This window comes from Homo sapiens, chromosome 13, assembly GCF_000001405.40.
Source record: "Homo sapiens chromosome 13, GRCh38.p14 Primary Assembly".
NCBI lineage: Eukaryota > Metazoa > Chordata > Mammalia > Primates > Hominidae > Homo > Homo sapiens.
In genome coordinates, this window is record NC_000013.11 from 43040490 (window position 1) to 43055258 (window position 14769).

The 14769-nt window shown below is 39.7% G+C and overlaps 1 protein-coding gene across 1 annotated transcript in view, besides 6 other annotated features; it reads left to right on the top strand.

The window, feature by feature from the left end:
* Nucleotides 1-14769, top strand: part of DNAJC15 (DnaJ heat shock protein family (Hsp40) member C15) — a 90628-nt gene that overhangs the window by 16904 nt on the left and 58955 nt on the right. The gene's annotated exons all lie outside the window — the stretch shown is intronic.
* Nucleotides 568-1416: an enhancer, noted in NCBI's record as "NANOG-H3K27ac hESC enhancer chr13:43615193-43616041 (GRCh37/hg19 assembly coordinates)". NCBI's record gives its function as "activates a minimal SCP1, AML or CMV promoter by ChIP-STARR-seq in naive and primed H9 embryonic stem cells {active_cell/tissue: H9 hESC(naive and primed)}" and the evidence as "EXISTENCE:reporter gene assay evidence [ECO:0000049][PMID:30033119]".
* Nucleotides 5109-5158: an enhancer, noted in NCBI's record as "active region_7663". NCBI's record gives its function as "activates an Ori minimal core promoter by ATAC-STARR-seq in GM12878 lymphoblastoid cells {active_cell/tissue: GM12878}" and the evidence as "EXISTENCE:reporter gene assay evidence [ECO:0000049][PMID:35858748]".
* Nucleotides 5259-5318: an enhancer, noted in NCBI's record as "active region_7664". NCBI's record gives its function as "activates an Ori minimal core promoter by ATAC-STARR-seq in GM12878 lymphoblastoid cells {active_cell/tissue: GM12878}" and the evidence as "EXISTENCE:reporter gene assay evidence [ECO:0000049][PMID:35858748]".
* Nucleotides 5660-6335: an enhancer, noted in NCBI's record as "H3K27ac-H3K4me1 hESC enhancer chr13:43620285-43620960 (GRCh37/hg19 assembly coordinates)". NCBI's record gives its function as "activates a minimal SCP1, AML or CMV promoter by ChIP-STARR-seq in primed H9 embryonic stem cells {active_cell/tissue: H9 hESC(primed)}" and the evidence as "EXISTENCE:reporter gene assay evidence [ECO:0000049][PMID:30033119]".
* Nucleotides 14479-14558: an enhancer, noted in NCBI's record as "active region_7665". NCBI's record gives its function as "activates an Ori minimal core promoter by ATAC-STARR-seq in GM12878 lymphoblastoid cells {active_cell/tissue: GM12878}" and the evidence as "EXISTENCE:reporter gene assay evidence [ECO:0000049][PMID:35858748]".
* Nucleotides 14589-14748: an enhancer, noted in NCBI's record as "active region_7666". NCBI's record gives its function as "activates an Ori minimal core promoter by ATAC-STARR-seq in GM12878 lymphoblastoid cells {active_cell/tissue: GM12878}" and the evidence as "EXISTENCE:reporter gene assay evidence [ECO:0000049][PMID:35858748]".

A 14769-nucleotide genomic window follows, 5' to 3' on the forward strand; every position in this document is an offset into this window, starting at 1 on the left:
TAATCTGTGTTTAAAATATTCTGCAGGCCTAGTCTGTTTTTAACATATTCTATATGAAGGGGTGGTTTGCCCCTCCACACCTGTGGGCGTTTCTCGTTAGGTGGAACAAGAGACTTGGAAAAGAAAGAGACACAGAGACAAAGTATAGAGAAGGAAAAAAGGGGGCCCAGGGGACCAGCGTTCAGCATACGGAGGATCTCGCCGGCCTCTGAGTTCCCTTAGTATTTATTGGTCATTCTTGGGTGTTTCTCGGAGAGGGGGATGTGGCAGGGTCATAGGATAATGAGAGAAAGTCAGCAGATAAGCACGTGAACAAAGGTCTCTGCATCATAGACAAGGTAAAGAATTAAGTGCTGTGCTTTAGATATGCATACACATAAACATCTCAATGCCTTAAAGAGCAGTATTGCTGCCCGCCTGTCCCACCTCCAGCCCTAAGGCAGTTTTCCCCATCTCAGTAGATGGAACATACAATCTGGTTTTATACTGAGACATTCCATTGCCCAGAGATGGGCAGGAGACAGATGCCTTCCTCATGTCTCAACTGCAAAGAGGCGTTCCTTCCTCTTTTACTAATCCTCCTCAGCACAGACCCTTTACAGGTGTCGGGCTGGGGGACGGTCAGGTCTTTCCCTTCCCACGAGGCCATATTTCAGACTATCACATGGGGAGAAACCTTGGACGATACCTGGCTTTCCTAGGCAGAGGTCTCTGCAGGGTTTTGTGTCCCTGGGTACTTGAGATTAGGGAGTGGTGATGACTCTTAACCACTGCTGCCTTCAAGCATTTGCCTTCAAGCATTTGTTTAACAAAGCACATCTTGCACAGCCCTTAATCCATTTAACCCTGAGTTGACACAGCACATGTTTCAGGGAGCACAGGGTTGGGGGTAAGGTTACAGATTAACAGCATCTCAAGGCAGAAGAATTTCTCTTAGTACAGAACAAAATGGAGTCTCTTGTGTCTACTTCTTTCTACACAGACACAGTAACAATCTGATCTCTCTTTCTTTTCCCCACACTATAGATATTTAACATGTCTTGTAGATGATCCCTGCCTCCCAACACACACATTGACTAGATTGCAGTAACAGTGAGGTGAGGGCAGAATCTCAGTCAGAATTCAACATCTAACCTTTGTTCTCTCCCTGTATCCTCACATTTCCCTCCTTGGCCTAACCTTGACCCTATGCTTCAGTTTTAGTTCTACTTTTCTAAGAAGCAATCTATGATTCAGAAGTAGAGTACTCAGCCAGCTGGCCAGCTGTCTGTTTTACTGTCTCTCCATGCATATACATACATCCATGCAGTCAATTAACTGCTAACTTTTATTTAGCCTATGCTATATACCGGGAATACAAAGGTGAATGAAGCCTACCTCTTGCCTTCTAGAGGTTCATAGCATGGTGAGGGAGGGAAGTTTTGAAGTGTGGCCTGGGATCACAATGGAGGAGTAAGCTGGGAAGTAGTCAGGTGGTGATATTTAAATAGGTAAGACCATAACACTGACATTGATTTCTTTAATGGTTGGATGTTTACTTAATCCTGCTGCCTATCTATAGTGTAGTAGGCCCCCTCTTATCTGTGGGTTCTGTGTTCCAAGACCACCAGTGGATGCCTGAAACCATGGAAAGTACTGAACCCTACAGATACAGTATTGTTTTCCTATAGTACTGGTCCCTTCATACACAATGTTTTTTCCTATATATACATAATTATGATAAAGTTTAATTTATAAATTAGGTACAGTAAGACATTAACAACAAACAATGCAATGGAACAATAATAACTATAGTTGTAATAAAACTTATGTGAGTATGGTCTCTCTTTCTCTGGAAATATATTATTATAACCATGGAAAGCAAAACTGTAAGAGAGGACTACTATAGTTTTGTTTCTTCCTCCTTCTTAGTAGCTGAGAAGCAATATAGAGCAGGCACTCTCCTGTGTTAGGGACAGGGATCAATCATAACATCTTTACATGAAGGGTGGTGAAACAGAAGGGCAGGAGTGCATTAAGAGTCAACTAGGATGGGGGGATATGACTCAAGTGCTCCAGCTCCCAAACTGAAAGCCAGCAGATTCAAAAGAGGGAGAGCTTATCTTGAGAAAAAATGTCATGGTGCCACATAAGGTAGGGACCAGCTGTGGTGGTGTAGCTGGCAAGTCTAAAATTTGTAGGGCAGGCCCACAGTCTGAGAGCTTTCAGATAGGATGAGATTCTTGAGGCAGTATTTCTTCTTCTTCAGAGAAACTTCAATTTTGTTCTTAAATCCTTGCAAATGATTGGTCCATATAGATTGGCCCACATAGATTATCAAAGATAAACTCCATAGGTGTTAGCCACATCTCCAAAATACTTTCATGGCAACCCCAAAATCAGTGTTTGACTAACTGGGTAAGCATAGTGTAGCCAGGTTGACACATAAAATTAACTGTCACCATGTTCCTGGGTTCAAGAACTTAAAGCCAAATATGCAACCTGGTTTGGCAAGCCTGTGATGAGTTCAGGGGCTGCAAGTGCTCTCCAGGCTGTCAGGAAGGACATGGTTGATGACAGGAGCAAGATTTTCTGACCAGTCACATTTATTCACATTTTGGTTTAAAAAAGCTGCTTTTTAAATTTGTTTATTTTTATTTTTTTGAAAGGCTCTGTCACTCAGGCCGGAGTCCAGTGGTATGATCTTGGCTCACTGCAAACCTCCGTCTCCCGGGTTCAAGCGAGTCTCCCCCCTCAGCCTCCCCAGTAGCTGGGACTACAGGCGTGTGCCACCACTCCCAGCTAATTTTTGTATTTTTAGTAGAGACGGGGTTTCACCATGTTGGCCAGACTGGTCTCGAACTCCTGACTCTCAGTTGATCTACCCGCCTTGGTCTCCCAAAGTGCTGGGATTACAGGCATGAGCTGCCATGCCTGACCTCAAAAGCTTCTTATATTATGAGAAAGTAGAGCCATGACTCACACTGTTATTTTGAGTAAATGCAAAACAGTACTTAAAAGATCATTCTTGTTATTATTTATTTACTTATTCTAGACCTTTTCTGACAGTGTGAAAAAGATTATTCTTAAAAAATCATTATCTATAGTGAAGATTTAACTTTGAGGAGTTTTTAATTATGCTGGAGAGTGGAGTAACATTCATTTGGGGTAAGCCTAAGAGTTTTGTTTCCTAACATGTTTGGCCTCTGATTTTGTTGTTTCGCCCTTTTATTTATTCACTAGTCTTGCTGTAGATACTAATGCTTGCCTGTGGTTTAAGAGAAATTAAGCAACTTAAAAACAGAGCAAATAGAAATGTAGTTAGCTTTGCCTTTCTTTTTTGCTTAATGTAAGGGTTTCGTGGGAATTGGTGTTTTGGGAGAAGTTCAAATGTATTTGCTTTTGGCAATGGAACAATAATGGTAAAGGTAGGGTGTCTTAATGTAGATTGGTTCAATTTAGATATGAAAGTCTGAAATTTATATTGGCTTGAAGATTTTAGGGCAGGATAATTTTATAAATTCTCGTTATTGTCATTTTATTGTGTCTGACACTTTTTCTTGAATGTAAATTCTCCTCCCCTCCTTATTCTAATCTGCATGTATAATACCTCTTTTACCCAAATTATATTGATTTGCCAGCAGTCTTTCTTGTTTCCTCTCTTTTTTTCTCCTTTCCACTTGCTGTTGTTTAAATTCAAAGAGTTTTCTTTGTGGAGACTGAACCTAATAGTAAGACAGCATAAAACACTGAGTTCAGCAGAAAGTGATTTGCTTGTGATTAACCCTTGAGAATTAACTCACTGCAAGATAACAAAGAATGAATGTTTTCCAAACATCTGGCTCATTCTTCTTTTCCATTAGTAGATGAGACCTCTCCATTTACCCTCTAGGTGTTAGGAATTCTCATACTGTTTCACTTAGGCTTTATCATACTCGTCACGGCATATTGTTAGAAAGTAAGTCCAAAAGAGAGTTCATGACATACCCTTTCTCTGCCACAGACCTCTCACAGTCCTTGCAGCAAAAGGCAGTTAGTGTCATTCTTTTAGTTGTTCAAGACAATAACCTTGACTCTTCTCTTTTCCTTTTAGTTGCTCAAGACAACTAAAAGGTCCTTTTAGTTCCTTTTGGTTGCAAAGACTTTATTTTCTTTGTCTTCCGAGAGACTTTTGGATATATTTACCTGGTCCAGGGTATTTTGAAGCATGACCATATGTTAGATTCTTAATTACGTTTAACTAGCATTGTCCATTATATTTTCTCATTTCAAAACCTTGACTCCATATCCAGTGTCTCAGCAAATCCTATTGGCCTTACCTCCGAACTCTATCTAGTATCTCACCACTTTCCTCATTTCCATCATTAATCGCTGTAGCCCAAGTGACCATTATCTCTTTCATGGATTATTTTAATAGACTTACAACTCATCCCCATGCCTCTGCTTTTCATCCTCTACAATCTATTCTCAACATGACAAGTAGAATGATCCTTAGAATTTTAATTGAAATAATCTTAGGCCTCTGCTCAAAACAATGATGTACTGTATCACTCGGAGAAAAGCTAGTCTTTATGTTGACCATATAAGGCCCAGCATGATCTGCTCCCCTTGTGACCTGTTCGACCTTGTTGCCTATTTTTTTCTCTTTCTCTTCCTGCTGTATGCACACTGGCCTTCTGGCTATTCGTTAGGCACACTGGGCACACCTGTGCTTTAGGGACTTTACACTTGTTCCCATTGCTAGTCCAAAATCTAAGGAATCCTTTTTCTTGCTTTAATTTTTTTCCAAAAGTCATTTTTTTCAGTGAAGCTTGCCCTACTCACTTTAAATTTGTTGCTCTTGTAGCAGGACAAGCCGCAGGCAAAACCTCTCAGACATCGAGTTGTAGAAGGAAGGGCTTTATTCAGCTGGGAGCATCGGCAAGCTACTGTCTTAAAATCCAAGCTCCCCGAGTGCACAATTTCCGTCCCTTTTACGGGCACACAACACTAAAGATTTTATATGAAAGGGTTGTGATTGATTGAGCAATCTAGGGGATATGTGACGGGGTTTCATGCACTGGTAGTCAGAGTGAAACAGAACAGAGCAGGGAGTTTCACAATGTTCTTCCATACAATGCCTGAAATCTATGGGTAACATCGGGTTCTAAGTCATGAGTTGATTTTTAACTACTAGGTTTAGGCCATGCAGGCTCGGGCGTGGTTTTGGGCCTGGGGCCAGGCTGCCTGTCTTTGATTTCACTTCCTTGTTTTTTTCTTAAAACAGGTACTGAGTATAAAATATAAAACAATGTGAGAGGGTCTCTCTCTTCCCTCACTCTCACCATACAAACACATACCTACTTCTTTATCTGCTTAATTTTTTTCCATAGCACAAATCACTGCGTAAAATAATTATATATTTTTCCTGTTAAAATTGTTTGTTGTCTGTCTCTCTTGCTAAAATGTACCTTCATGAGGATAGGGATTTTGTCTGATATATCCCTAGGGCTTAAAATCATGACTGGCACATAGTAAATACTGAGTATTTATTGAATTAATTAATGAACCAGTCAGAGATGGGAAATAGCCTTCAAGTGCCTGTTTGCTAAATTACCTAACCTTTTTATTGGGAGTTTATTTTCCTTAATGTTTGTTTAACAAATTAGTTATTCTTTCATGTTTTCCACATAACCTGTGGATTATCTTCATTTTTTTTTTTTTGTAAGGAAATTTACCAGACATAAGGTCCTAACTTTATTTTCTTTGTCTTCCGTGAGACTTTTGAATATATTTACCTGGTCCAGGATATTTTGAAGCATGACCATATGTTAGATTTTTAATTAAGTTTAACTAGCATTGTCCATTATATTTTCCCATTTCAAAACATAATTTCGGTCACCAGTATGGTACACATAAAATATGAGCTACAAGAGACATCTCGGTGGTGGTGAGAGACAGGACTAGTTGGACTTCCTAGGCCGACTAAGAATTCCTAAGCCTAACTGGGGAAGGTGACCGCACCTACCTTTAAACACAGGGCTTGTAACTCAGCTCACGCCCAACCAATCAGGTAGTAAAGAGGGCTCACTAAAATACAAATTAAGCTAAAAGCAGGAGGTAAAGAAATAGTCAAATCATATATCGCCTGAGAGCACAGGGGGAGGGGCAGTGATTGGGATATAAACCCAGGCATTGGAGCAGAGAGTGGGCAACCCCCTTTGGGTCCTCTCACATTGTACGGGAGCTCTGTTTTCATTCTATTAAATCTTGCAACTGCACACTCTTCTGGTCCGTGTTTGTTACGGTTCGAGCTGAGCTTTTGCTCGCTGTCCACCGCTGCTGTTTGCTGCCGTCGCAGACCTGCCGCTGACTTACACCCCTCTGGATCCAGCAGGGTGTCCACTGCGTTTCTGATCCAGTGAGGTGCACATTGCCGCACCTGATCAGGCTAAAGGCTCGCCTTTGTTACTGCACGGCTAAGTGCCCTAATCGAGCTGAACACTGGTTGCTGGGTTCCACCGTTCTCTTCCATGACCCACAGCTTCTAATAGCTATAATACTCACCACATGGCCCAAGGTTCAATTTCTTGGAATCTGTGAGGCCAAGAACCCCAGGTCAGAGAACAAAAGGCTTGCCGTCATTTTGGGAGCGGCCCACCCCATGTTGGGAGCTCTAAGACCAAAGACCCGCCCGTAACAGTGGTAAAGTTTCTTAAGATCATTTTCATGTCATTATACAAACTTTTAGAAAATGACGCTTTGCTAGATTTTGGAAATCCAAAGAAATAAAACACAGTCCCTACCTCCGGAAGCCTACATGTTGGAAGGGATTTGAAATAGGTAAATGAGTATTAACTAATGTAATATATATTACAGTAGAAAGATCTCCTGAGTACTATGGAGTACTGAAGAGTTTTGTTTGGGTGAGAGGTGAGTGAAGAAAGCTTTTTTGAGAAGATGAGCTTGAAGTTGATTGCTGAGTAAGATTTCCCAGGAGTAAAGCAGAGAGGAACAAAAGGAGTAAGAGTAAATAATATGAGAATGAAAAAAGGACCAACATGGAATGTCTGTGACGTTCACATAGGTGCTGGTTATTTTTCATAACCTTGTTTGAATCATTACGAGCATGTTAGGATACAGGTATTTGTATCTTAATTTTATAGATGAGGAAATGGGCCCAAAGAGAATAGCTTAGGATCACAGAATGTTGAATTGGAGCCCAGGCCTGATTAACTTGAAGCCCATGGACTTTCCATAGCAGCCCCATACATAGCATTCAGGTGTGAAGGAGTAGAAAGTATAAGGGGCTCATGCTTGCTGCATGGATGAAAAACTTGAAGGCTTATTTAGAAAGTAAAAGTTTAGTACGAGCCATGAGGAATGGGAAAGGGTACTAATTAATGATGAGGAAGATGATGGTACAGAGTAGGCTTGAAGGGCCAGCGGGCATCAGAAACCATAACTGTGTAATGATGCTATTTAGTGAGAACATAAGATTTTTCTTTAGCTAGACCTAGCAGTCTAGGATGAGGATTCTCTGTGGTAACTCTGCCACCATTTTGAAACCATTCGATTTCACTGACAATTTGCCATCTGTTGCTTTCTGCAGTGCTATTATGCATATGCCTGGAAGTTTTTAAATCCAAAATATTCATGCATTGTATATGGTCAGAGAGAATGCAGTGAAAGCTATGCTTTTTGTAATTTTTGACAAGTGTACTCTAAAGTAATGAATTTTAAAAACTTAGGCCGGGTGCATTGGCTTACGCCTATTATCCCAGCACTTTGGGAGGCCAAGGCAGGTGGATCACCTGAGGTCAGGAGTTCAAGACCAGCCTGACCAAAATGGAGAAACCTCGTCTCTACTAAAAATACAAAAAAAAAAAAAAAAATTACCCGGGTATGGTGGCTCATGCCTGTAATCCCAGCTACTGGGGAGGCTGAGGCAGGAGAATCGTTTGAACCCGGGAGGCGGAGGTTGTGGTGAGCCGAGATTGCGCCATTGCGCTCTGGCTTGGGCAACAAGAGCAAAACTCTGTCTCAAAAATAAACAAAAAACAAAAAGCTTAAATACCCTTGTCCCATATCACATAAATTTGTTTTTTGAATATATATCATCTTTTTTTCCCCCATGGTGACCATGACAGATTATTAAAAACTAAATTTCTAAATTTGATGTAAGTAGAATGTTAGGTTTTTGGTTTTTCTTACATAGAGACCACTGTTCCCAAACATTATGCTGGACCAGTTGTAAAAGAATTTTTTTGGTGGCATTTGTAACTGATTTCATTTTTAAGTATATATGTGCATATATTTATAGAAAGATCAGCTTGTTCTATAAGTAGAAGTATGTGGTACCCTAATTTTGTGTAACAACAACAAAAATATATCCAATAATTAGATTTTCTGCAGGCCTAGAAAATGTTAGCTACTTTTTTAAGCCATAAACGTCTGAATCGTCAGATAAAATGTTTCAAAACTAAAACTTGCCCAAGGCAGCCTTGTGAATTTTTTTTTAAAGAATTAAAAAAAAAGCCTCATATGGCATCCATATTCATCATCTACTGCTACATATGTGTGACACTTACGGCAGTTTTAGCCTATACTAGGGTACAGGAATATACTTACTTTTTTAAATCATACTTCCTGATTTCTTTTATTTTCATATCCCAATTTTTCCTAAGTCAAAGAAACAGCAACATTTCTGTTTCTGCAGAATTTAACCTGGTTATTGCCTAGTTGGTAGAAAATGACTGTAGTTGTGGTACCAACACTATGCCTGATTCACCATTTTACTATTATATTGTCTTTTCAATGTCATTTTTTCTCATTCTGTTACTGGCAGTTTAGTTTTAAAGCATCATTGTTTAAAAAACATTCAAAATAAAAGTCGAAATACATCTTCATGTTTACAACTGGATCAGATATGGTGTTGTGCATATAAAAGAAACAAAATACAGATCCTCTTAGCCCAAGGATATGATACTGAAGTTTAGTAAACGAGAAATAGCATAGTGATGAAAGCATGCTAATTGTTTTTCAACAATAGTAAAATAGAGAACATGTTAATGGAATTATCTGATATTTACACAGTTATGCCAAGTAAACCATAGGTTATTCAGAAACCCCAGTGTGTTTTAGATGTTATTTTATTTTTAAAATTAAAGCCAAAGAAAGGTATGGTCAGGAGTTCTGTGTTGAGTTACTTACTTAGACTTAGATTGACTCCCTTTCTCTTATACTTCTGTTTTCTACATTTGAAACTAGTTTCTTTTTCCTGTTTGAGTCATTCATATATGTGGAAGTTTGAGGAGAATTGTTACTGTTTTACAGCTCACAAAATCTGTGTCTGAAAAGAAATACCAATGGCTTTTTAGCAAATAAAAAAATGTTAGGTAGTAGATAAATTTTTTTCTAGGAAACAATTCATATTATTCTGGGCCAGTTAAAGTTTTGTTTGTTTGTTTGTTTTATTTTATTTGTTTGAGACAGAGTCTTGCTCTGTGGCCCAGGCTGGAGTGCAATGGCATGATAATCGGCACACTGCAACTTCCACTTCCCAGGTTCAAGCAGTTCTCCTGCCTCAGCCTTTTGAGTAGCTGGGGCTACAGGCACCTGCCAACACACCTGGCTAATTTTTTGTATTTTTAGTAGAGACGGGGTTTTGTCATGTTGGCCAGGCTGGTCTCGAATTCCTGACCTCAGGTGATCCACCTGCCTCAGCCTCCCAAAGTGCTGGGATTACAGGCATGAGCCACTCTGCCCGGCCAGTTTTAATTGCTTGTAAATCTAACAGCCTTACTATTTCCACAGGAAACTTTATAAGTACTTTTATTCTTTCCTTTAAAATTTTAAAAAATTTTTTAGTTTTTTTGAGACAGGGTCTCACTCTGTCACCAAGCTGAAGTACAGTGGCATAATCACAGCTCACTGTGGCCTCAATCTCCTGGGCTCAAGCAATCCTTCCACTTCAGGCTCCCAAGCAGCCAGGACTACAGGCACACCCAACTAACTTTTCTTTAGTAGAGACAGGGTCTTCTTGTGTTGCCGAGGCTGGTCTCACTCCTGGGCTAAATCAGTTCTCCCATCTCAGCCTCCCAAAATGAAGACTTTTATTCTTACTTCAGATTACAAAATATGATTGTATAGGATACATGATTAAAAAAAAATTTCAAGTTGATTTCAACTTCTAAATATGTTTTTGTTTGTTTACTGTCAATTGTTCATGCTCAAAAAGTTTTATTTTAATATCAAATTAAAATACAAAGAGAGGTAATTTAGATTAAACCCTTTCAATAGAGAATTTTTAAGATTTAAAAAATTTTTTTAGCCTTGATTTGAAATTGAATAAGGAATTTTAATTCCAGTAAATAAATGGGTTTTTGATTAGCTGTGCTGTATTTTATCGTTTTAGTGTGGATAAGTAAGATTTGATTGCTCAATTTTGGTTATTTACTGAACATCCTTTTTTACTCTAGTGATCTACCTAATTTGGGTTTCTTTTTGTTGTTTTTGTTTCTTGGTATTTTATTTATTTTTTTGAGACTAAGTCTCACTGTTGCCGCCCAGGCTGGAGTGCAATGGCGCAATCTCAGCTCACTGCAACCTCCGCCTCCCAGGTTCAAGGGATTCTCCTGTCTCAGCCTCCCGAGTAGCTGGGATTACAGGTGCCTGCCACCACACCCAGCTAATTTTTTTATTTTTAGTATAAGCGATGGGGTTTCACCATGTTAGCAAGGCTGGTCTCGAACTCCTGACCTCAGACGATCCACCCATCTCAGCCTCCCAAGGTGCTGGGATTACAGGCGTGAGCCACTGTGCCCAGCTATTTTATTTTTTATTTCAATAAGTTTTGGGGGAACAGGTGGTGTTTGGTTACATGGATAAGTTCTTTAGTGGTGACATCTGAGATTTTAGTGTACTCATCACCTGAACACTGTACCCAGTGTGTAGTCTTTTATCCCTCGCTCCCACCCATTACCTGCCCTGTGAGTCCCCACAATCCGTTGTATCAATTCTTATGCCTTGCATCCTCATACCTTAGCTCCTAGTTATAAATGAGAACATACAATATTTGGTTTTCCGTTCCTGAGTTACTTCGCTTAGAATAATGGTCTCCAACTCCATCCAGGTTGCTGCAAATGCCGTTATTTGTTCATTTTTATGGCTGAGTAGTACTTCATGGTGTGTGTGTGTGTGTGTGTGTGTGTGTATATATATCACATTTTCTTTATCCGCTCTTTGATGAGCATTTGGGCTGGTTCCATATTTTTGCAATTGTGAATTGTGCTGCCATAAACATGCATGTGCAGTATCTTTTTCATATGATTGCTTATTTTCCTCTGGTTGGATACCCAAGAGTGGGATTGCTGGATCAAACAGCAGTTCTACTTTTAGTTCTTTAAGGAATCTTCATACTGTTTTTCATAGGGGTTGTACTAGTTTACCTTCCTACCAGCAGTGTAAAAGTGTTCCCTTTCACCATATCCATGCCAACATCTATTATTTTTTGATTATTATTATTATTTTTTTGAGATGGAGTTTTGCTCTGTTGCCCAGGCTGGAGTGCAGTGGCGTGATCTCGGCTCACTGCAACCTCTGGCTGCTTGGTTCAAGCGATTCTCCTGCCTCAGCCTGCCGAGTAGCTGGGATTACAGGCATGCTCCACCACAGCCAGCTAATTTTTGTATTTTTAGTAGAGACAGGGTTTCACCATATTGGCCAGGATGGTCTCGATCTCCTGACCTTGTGATACACCTGTCTCAGCCTCCCAAAGTGCTGGGATTACAGGTGTGAGCCACCACGCCCAGCCTATTTTTTGATTTTTAAATTATGGCCATTCTTGCTGGAGTAAGGTGGTATGGCATTATGGGTTTGATTTGCATTTCCCTGATAATTAGTGATGTTGAGCCATATGTTTTTTGGCTATTTGTGTATCTTCTTTTGAGAATTGTCTGTTCATGTCTTAGCCCACTTTTTTTTTTGAGACAGAGTCTCACTCTTGTCACTCAGGCTGGAGTGCAGTGGTGTGATCTCAGCTCACTACAACCTCCACCTCCTGGGTTCAAGCGATTCTCCTGCCTCAACCTCCCAAGTAGCTGGATTACAGGTGCCTGCCACTACACCTGGCTAATTTTTGTATTTTAGTAGAGACAGGGTTTCACCATGTTGGCCAGGCTGGTCTCGAACTCCCTGACCTCAGGTGATCCACCTGCCTTGGCCTCCCAAAAGTGCTGGATTACAGGCATGAGACACTGTGCTCGGCCATTAGCATAATTTTTGATGGCATTATTTGTTTTTTTCTTGCTGATTAGTTTGAGTTTCTTGTAGATAGTGTGTATTAGTCCTGTGTTGGATACATAGTTTGCAAAGATTTTCCCCTACTCTGTGGGTTGTTTATTCTGCTGATTATTTCTTTTGCTGTGCAGAAGCTTTTTAGTTTAATTAGTTCCCATCTATTTATATTAGTTTTTGTTGCATTTGCTTTTGGCTTTTTGATCATTCAGGAGCAGGTTATTTAATGAAATCTTTGCCTAAACCAATGTTTGGAAGGGTTTTTCTGATGTTATCTTCTATAATTTTTATGCTTTTAGGTCTTAGATTTATCCATCTTGACTTGATTTTTGTATAAGGTGAGAGATGAGGATCCAGTTTCATTCTTCCACATGTGGCTTGCCAGTTATCTCAGCACCATTTGTTGAATAGGGTGTCCTTTCCCCACTTTATGTTTTTATTTGCTTTGTGGAAGATCAGTTGACTGTTAAGTATTTGGCTTTATTTCTGGGTTCTCTATTCTGTTCTATTGGCCTATATGCCTGTTTTTGTACCAGTACCATGCTGTTTTGGTGACTATGGCTTTATAGTATAGTTTGAAGTCAGGTAATGTGATGCCTCCAGATTTGTTCTTTTTCCTTAGTTTTGCTTTGGCTGCATGGGCTGTTTTTTTGGTGCCGTATGAATTTTAGGATTGTTTTTTCTAGCTCTGTAAATGATGATGCTCGTATTTTGATGGGAATTGCATTGAGTTTGTAGATTGCTTTTGGCAGTACAGTCATTTTCACAATATTGATTCTATCCATCCATGGGCATGTGATGTGTTTCCATTTGTGTTGTGTGTGATTTCTTTCAGCAGTCTTTTGTATGATAGTTTTCCTTGTAGAGGTTTTTTACCTCCATGGTTAGGTATATTCCTTTGTAATTTTTTGTTTGTTTTTTCTTTGCAGCTATTGTAAAAGGGGTTGAGTTCTTGATTTGATTCTCAGGTTGGTCACTGTTAGTGTATAGCAGAGCTACTGATTTGTGTACATTAATTTTGTATCCTGAAACTTTGCTGAATTCATTGATCAATTCTAGGAGATGTTTGAAGGAGTCTTCAGGGTTTTCTGGTATACAATCATATCTTCAGCAAATAGTGACAGTTTGACCTCCTCTTTACCGATTTGGATGCCCTTTATTTCCCTCTCTTGTTTGATTGCTCTGGCTAGGACTTCTAGTACTATGTTGAATAGAAGTGGTGTAAGTGGGCATCCTTGTCTTGTTGCAGTTCCCAGAAGGAATGCTTTCAACTTTTCTCCACTCAGTATTATGTTGGCTGTGGGTTTGTCTTTTATTACCCTAAGGTATGTTCCTTCTATCCTGATTTTGCTGAGAGTTTTAATCATGATGGAATGCTGGATTTTGTCAAATGCTTTTTCTGTGCCTGTTGAGATGATCGGGTGATTGTTGTTTCCACTTCTGTTTAGTATATCACATTTATTCACTTGTGTGTGTTAAACTATCTCTGCATCCCTGGTATGAAACCCTCTTGATCATAGTGGATTATTGTTTTGATATGCTGTTGGGTTTGATTAGTTAGTATTTTGCTGAGGTTTTTTGCATCTATGTTCATCAGGGATTTTGGTCTATAGGTGTTCATTTTGTTGTTGTTATGTCATTTCCTGGTTTTGGTATTAGGGTGATAACTGGCTTCATAGAATGATTTAGGGAGGATTCCCTGTTTATCTTTTGGAATATTTTCAATAGGATTGGTACTAGTTCTGTTTTGAATGTCTGACAAAATTCAGCTGTAAATCCATCTGGTCCTGGACTTTTTTTTGTTGACAGTTTTTTTGATTACCATTTCAGTCTCACTTATTGTTATTGGTATGTTCTGAGTTTCTAGTTCTACCTTGTTTAATCTTGGAGGGTTGTATATTTCCTGGAATTTATCCATCTCCTCTAGGTTTTCTAGTTTCTCTGTGTAAGGGTGTTCATAGTACTCTTGAATGATCTTTTTATTTCTGTGGTATTGGTTGTAATATTGTTATAGGAAATAGAAATAAAGTATTTGGGTAGACGGGGAGAAGAGAGTCCCTGGCAGAAAACTTTCCTTCTAACATAAAGTAGCTCAGAAATAGCTCCCTTCTAACCTCATGCAGTTCAAAGAAATCACTTCTCTAACTAAACAAGCAGCCTGAAAGATCAGGCTGTAAATCACAGATAAACCCCTGGAGCACAGAAGGAGGGCGGGGAGTCTCCTGGGTAATCACCAAACTTCACAATGGGCCCCAGTAAAAACAGTGGGCCTTAATAAGCACATTCCTTTCCCTTTAGGACATCAAGATAGAGAAGCTAAAAGTGGACTTGGGGAGGTGGGGGTGGAGACGTCGTGGGGGAGGGGTGTTGGGGGGATGCCTGCAGCTGCAAGAAGATGTCTGGGAACAGACACAGAAACTCTCCCTCTCAGATAAGCAAAAGAAGGCATCACAGACTAAGTCTGCCCATGTGATCCAGGAATAAAGTGAGAGCTGATAAAAAAAAAAACTCTGC